This window comes from Homo sapiens, chromosome 10, assembly GCF_000001405.40.
Source record: "Homo sapiens chromosome 10, GRCh38.p14 Primary Assembly".
NCBI classification, from domain to species: domain Eukaryota; kingdom Metazoa; phylum Chordata; class Mammalia; order Primates; family Hominidae; genus Homo; species Homo sapiens.
In genome coordinates this window covers 124,388,761-124,395,322 of record NC_000010.11, presented here as the reverse complement: position 1 = coordinate 124,395,322, position 6,562 = coordinate 124,388,761, and the positions used below count along the sequence as shown (strand labels likewise).

Below are 6,562 nucleotides of genomic sequence, written 5' to 3'. Positions count from 1 at the left end.
CACTGAATGACTACGTTTAAATGAGTGAGCAGTTACTGGGAGGCCTCCTCATACCAATTACAACTGGGGTGGCACCCAGGCCAGGTAAGCTCTCCAGGGCATTCAAGGTTGAGAACCTGTCTTAGGAATCTTATTAAGATGCAGATTTTTGTTTTGGAGACATAGTCTCACTGTCACCTAGGTTGGAGTGAAGTGGTATGATCTCGGTTCACTGCAACTTCCACCTCCCAGGCTCAAGCGATTCTCCCACTTCAACCTCTCTACTAGCTAGGACCATGGCCGTGTGCCACCAGATTTGGCTAATTGGTTTGTATTTTTGGTAGAGACAGGGTTTTGCCATGTTTCCCAGGGTGGTCTTGAACTCCTTAGCTCAAGTGGTCCACCTGCCTTGGACTCCCAAAGTGCTGGGATTATAGGTGTGAACCACAGTGCCCAGCCTTAAGATGCAGATTCTAATTCAGTCTCTCTCTGTGTGTGTGTACTGGAGATTCCACATTTGCAGGTTGCCTTAGGACATACTATTATTATGATGAGTCAGTTTAATTTGCATTCAGTTATTCTCACCAGAGATGACCTTAGGGCAGGTGATTTTTAACAAAGCTATCTTCCTGCTAAATTCTTTGAAGGCTTTAAAAGTCAGAGAGGACCCAGAGGTAGGAAAGTACAGGGAGTTGTGGAGACGGTGGCCAATGACAATGAGGGCCTTTGGGCTTAATTTGGTGAGCAGTGGGGTCACTGAAGAAAGGGGTTGAAGCAGGGGCGTGGCGTGATCCTATTAGAAAATCCTAGGCTGGGTGCGGTGGCTCATGCCTGTAATCCCAGCACTTTGGGAGGCTGAGGTGGGCGAATCACCTGAGGTCGGGAGTTTGAGACCAGCCTGACCAACGTGGAGAAACCCCATCTCCACTAAAAATACAAAAAATTAGCCAGGCGTGGTGGTGCATTCCTGTAATCCCAGCTACTCGGGAGGCTGAGGCAGGAGAATCACTTGAACCTAGAAGGCAGAGGTTGCAGTGATCAGAGATTGCACCATTGCGCTCCAGCCTGGGCAACAGAGCGAAACTCTGTCTCAAAAAGGAACAAACAAAAGAAAATCCTTTCTGGCTGATGGTTTAGGGCTTACTCATGCAGTACACACTGGTTGTAGGGCCTCAGGGCCTATGTCCAGTGGTGAACAGGTGGGCAGGAACCTGCTGACGGCACTTAGTGCCCTGGGGATGAAGTGGAGGGGTGGTGAAGCGGGAGGCAGGGAGAGTCAGACACAGGCTTTGGATTTGGGGTAGAACATCAGGGCAACTGCTGTGGTTAGATACTCCCTTTCCTTAGCTGTGAGGAAGTGGGATGCTATCTACCTTTCAGGGGAGTTAGGAGGATTAAAAAAGATGGAGTAGGTCAAGCTCCTGGTGGAGGACCTGGCACAGAATTACAGATCAATAAATAAGTTGCTAGCTCCCCCTCCCCACCCCCAACACATACAGTTGGAGGAGTTTGGGAGAGAGGAAGCTTCGGGAGAAGGATTCTTTCAGATAAGGGTGACATCTAGATAAGGAAGAGATGGCGTAGAGCTGATAGCCTGGCTGTATCACAAAGGGGATGTCAAGTTAAAGGAAGAAGCTGAGGCAAAATTAATAATCATAAAGTTATTCATGATAGCAGGAGGCAGACAAAATGCCTAGGCTGATAGGGGCGGTCCCCAGTGAAACACCACCTTCAAGCCAAAAACAGCCTGAAGTCTGAAAGACTGAACTGTTGGTTCTGGATGAAACCTGTGACCCAGAGTGAGAACTTCTGTTCCTATTTGCCCACTCTTTCCCGATTGGTTCTTTCTGAATAACGCTTTTTGACCAGTTGAATGTTGCCTTTTCTGATACTACCTATGGCCTGCCCCTCCCCCATCCTGTGCCTATAAAAACCCCAGACTCAGCCACACTGGAGGAGACCACCTTCCCGTCTCCTCTCTGCTGAGAGCTGTTTTGTCGCTTAATAAACTTCTCTGCCCTCACCACCCCTCAGTTGCCAGTGTGACCTCATTCTTCTTTGACGGACAAGAACTCCAGACTCACTGAACATGGGTACTCACAAGGCTGTAACACTGTGGCCCTCTGCCCTTCACTGGCAGAGGGCAGATGCCTCATGTGATGGAAAGTAGTGATGGGGCGGAGCTGGCCCCGGAGCTGCGGGCTGGAATGGGGCAAGGGGCTGACTGAGCTGTTAACATGCCACCGTCTGTTGGGCTATGGATGGTGGGACTAAAAGAGCTAATGAGCACATTGTAACACTCTTTTGGGGCTTTAGGGTCATGGGCACCCCTGCCTGGGCACCACTGCATTCCCCTTGGAGTGACACACCTGGTCCAGCTGCAAACCCCGCATGGAGCCCACCCCTGTGCCAGCATTTGGAATGGCTGGCTGGACCCCACACTTGCTCACTCACATACCCCCTCCCACCAGGGCCTGAGCATGCAGCAGCAGCTGCTGTGGGATCTGCGCCGGAGTGCAAGCCAGATGCGGCCTGGCAGGCCCAGTAGATGGGGTGCCTCCTGCTGCGTGCCTGGCAAAGGGGCCGAGAAAAATCTTCTCATTTGGGCCAAGCTTGAGAACTGCAGCCCAGGATACATCATCAGTTTGCCTTGGGGAGTGCTCTGGAGAATATTTATAAAGAAAAAAAAATCAGGAGAAGGGGTGATTATAAAACTTATTTATTAGGAATTTTCATTGGTCTAGAGAATTGGCATTAGTTACTGATTGGCTATTCATTGTTGAAGTACAGGATGTATGGCGTTTTTGTGGCCATTTGGCTTCAGTTAGTCTAGAGCTGCATGGCAAGGGGCTTCGAGAGGTAATTATTTAGCTCAAGGGGGAGTGAGACCTGACTGCCATTATATTTTAGATACTTTTCTGGGCCTGATAATTTAAAGGGGCTCACATTCTTCAGGTAAAAAGTTATTTTTCTTCTTCGGGGAGGAGTGGTTCAAAGTAGAGGAGAACTCACAGAGTATGTGGTGCCCAGATGCACATTTAGATATGTGCAAAAGAAAGATGATAATCTTGGTACATTTTTGCACTTTAAATAGTCACCACCTTCACTCTCCACACCCCCTAATGATAACTTGTTCTTTGGATTCTGACCTTCCAGAATACCTCATCTAAATTAATTACTGCACATATAAGAAAACTGAGGTTGGGATAGGACATCTGATGTACCCAGAATAACAGAGGTGAAAGTGACAATGCGTTTCAAGCACTAGGACTGTGAAGTTCCCAGCATGCTCTCTGCAGCACATCTGTATGTGATGGGGAAGCACCACAGAGGTCGGGGGAGGCATATAGGGGACATTTATAGGTTTAGATCTGTGCTGCTCAATGCCAGCTGCACTTCAGAGTCACCTGGCTTGCTTAAAAAATTAGTATCGGCCAGGTGTGGTGGCTCATGGCTGTAATCCAAGCACTTTGGGAGGCCGGGGTGGGTAGATTACCTGAGGTCAGGAGTTCAAGACCAGCCTGACCACCATGGTGAAACCCAGTTTCTACTAAAAATGCAAAAATTAGCTGGGCGTGGTGGTGCACGCCTGTAATCCCAGCTACTCAGGAGGCTGAGGCAGGAGAATCACCTGAACTCAAGAGGCGGAGGTTGCAGTGAGCCGAGATTGTGCCATTGCGCTCTGGGCTGGGCAATAAGAGTGAAACACTGTCTCAAAAAAAAAAATAATATTGATGGCCAGACCTCACCTCAAATCAATTACATCAGCATCTCCTGGATGGGGCCTTGCACCTGGATATTAAATGCTCCTGGGGATTCTAATGTGCAGTCCTTGCAAAGTGGGTATTGAGTGTGAGGCAGGGTGTCATTCACCCAACCATGCTGGGGCACTGACGTCTACTGGTGAATAAGGCACACGATTCCTGGCATCAGCGGGCTTTTTAATAGGTACATTTATTTCAAAAATGTTTATTGAGTACCACTTGGCTGGTCCCGGAGGATAGACAGTGGTTCAAATAAATAGCATTTATTCAGCAGTCTGTGCCAGGCACTATTTCAAATGCCTTAAGTCTCACTCCAGGTATTATTACTTCCATTTACAGATGAGGAGACCAAGGCTCAGAAACACAAGCTTGCTTTAGGTCATTGAAATAGTGGTGATGCCCAAGAGCCTTGGATGGGCTGGACAAACCTTCTGAGGGAGCCAGTAGGTGGTCCTGGTGCCTCAGGGACTGGGGGCTTTGAGAACAGCTCCTCCCTTTGTCTCAAGAGCTTGGCCAAGAGGCCCCTGTGGCCTGTAAAAGCATTTCAATTTGTTTTGAACTTGGGGGATGGATTCTTAAAATACCAGCAGGAGGCATCAAAATGAATAATATATATCTAAAAGCAGCTTAGTCCATTTAGGAAAAAAAACTTTAAAATATATTTCAGGGCTCACTCCAGTGTTCCATGCATGTATAATGGCTCAGAGGAGGTTTATTAGCTCCCCAGCCTTTATTTTGATTAACTTGCAAATGAGATTTTTTCTCTATACATCAGCCTAGCCCTTCAAATTGTTAATGAGATATCTGAACTAAAATGGCTTTTATAATTTGCATCACAATACTTAAGAGCCCAGCAGATGATTGCTGCAAATAAGCCTTGTGTGGAATAGCCAAGCATGGCTCAAGGCAGGGTTCGGGAGGACCACCGACAGCTCAGGCTTGCACATCCATGGGGATGCAGGGTCTGGGGGCCTTTGATCTTGGTGGCTTTCTCCTAGGCCAGTCTCTGAGACCGGCAGTGAAGGGCAAGTGGGATCCACCAGCCCCTACTCTCTCCTGCCTTCCTTTTTATCACAACATCTCTTTAATTTATGGCCCCTGAGTGCCAAGCCGTGTACCTGTGAACAAATGGAGTAATTACTCCTGGGAGAAATAGAAAAACATGGATGCAGACCATACAGAAAGCTGCCGGCTTTCAGTGGGGTGACCTGGGAGTGATCACCGGGTGAGGGTGTCCTGCCAGTGTTCTAGGAATCCTGGAATCATGGAGGGTCTCCTGCCAGTGTTTTCATGTTACTGGAGGCTCAGAGAGCGGAAGGGACTTGTCCACCGGCTGCGCTCCCTGGGACAGAAACCTGGGGAGGCCTCCTGATGATGACGGGAGGCGGTGGCGTGGGTGGTTGCTGCGAGGCTCAGAGCTTCGGTTTTGCTTTTGCCTCTGACAACCAGGATGACCTCTGGCAACTCAATGCCTCTCTGTCCTTTATCGAATGAGGGGGTTGAATTAGGACAGAACAGTCACGGGTGGTTTCACAACAGGTGTATGTTCTGAGAAATGCGTCCTTTGGCGATTTTCTCGTTATGTGAACATCATGGCGTGTACTTACACAACCTAGATGGCACAGCCTGCTACGACACAATGCTAAGTATTTGCATAGCTAAACACAGAAAAGGCACAGTAAAAATATGGTATAATCTTTTGGGACCTCCGCCATATTAGAAGGGCATGACTGCCTGGTCTCTGGAGGTGGGGGTGAGGACTGACCAGGTGAGCCTGAGCCCCCATCCAGTGGGCACCGGGCTCAGGTGGGCGCGCGACGGGTCTTGGGAACTGACAGAGGAGCCAGGGTCTGAGGCCCCCGGCAGGTTTTATATAGAGATGGCCAGAAAAGCGCCCCCACGTCCTGTGAGGTTCCCATTCCCCCGTCTTGGGTTTTAAGATCCCCTTGAGACTTAGTTTCCCCCAAAGTCAGTTTCCCGAGAAAAGGAGGCCCCATTTCAGCAGAAAGGGGCTTCGAGCTCCAGGGAGAGGACGGGGGTGTGGCGAGTTGTCCCCTCCCCTCCAAGACTCAGCGCCCACGCGCAAGTCAATAACCCCAAGTCCGGGTCCTGGGGCTTTTGGCCGGAACTGCTCGCAGCCATAGGGCCCCACGCGCGTTGGGACGGCAGGGGGCGCTGCCCGCAAAGCGTTGCTTCCCGGCCGTCCTGCGAGCCCGCGAGATGCGCGTGCGCGAGGCCGGGGCTCGGGAGCTGGGGCGGGGCCGTGGGCGGGGCCAGGAGCCGCGCTGGGGACCGTGCCCTCCTCCGCCGAGGCCTGTAGGGCGCTCGCTCTTCGCTGGGCCGAGTCCCCCCGCGCGCTGCAGAGCAATACAGTTCTGTAAAAGTTTATTATTCTGACGTTGGAATATGCTCCTTGGAGACAATTCAGAACTTGCAGAAACCAGAGCCCCGCGGCCCCTCCCTGCGTAGACTGCGGGCGGCTGTCCCGGGCGTGGGCTGCGGCCCCGCGGGCCCATGCGTGTTCTGGGGACTCTGGGGCGCTGGTTCAGTCCCGCGTGTGTGGGAGTCACGTTCACCTCCTCAGTGCCAGGTGCTGTCCGCGCACCCGTCGGAGCGCCTCGGTTCACCGTGCAGAGGTGTGGGCTCCGGGGCAGGGAAGGGTCCACCCCACCTCCCGCGCTGCAGCGAGCTTGACAGGTGGTGATCCTGGACAGGCGCATCCGTTGGGCCGGGGGCAGGGGCGCTCTGACCCTGTGGGCAGGGCCTCCCGGGACTCTGCCCGGAGCTCCTGGCTGGGCTGTGCCCGGAGGGATCTGAGT

At 51.5% G+C, this 6,562-nt stretch overlaps 1 annotated feature.

Moving 5' to 3' along the window:
- Positions 5,817-6,106: a silencer, noted in NCBI's record as "silent region_2908". NCBI's record gives its function as "represses an Ori minimal core promoter by ATAC-STARR-seq in GM12878 lymphoblastoid cells {active_cell/tissue: GM12878}" and the evidence as "EXISTENCE:reporter gene assay evidence [ECO:0000049][PMID:35858748]".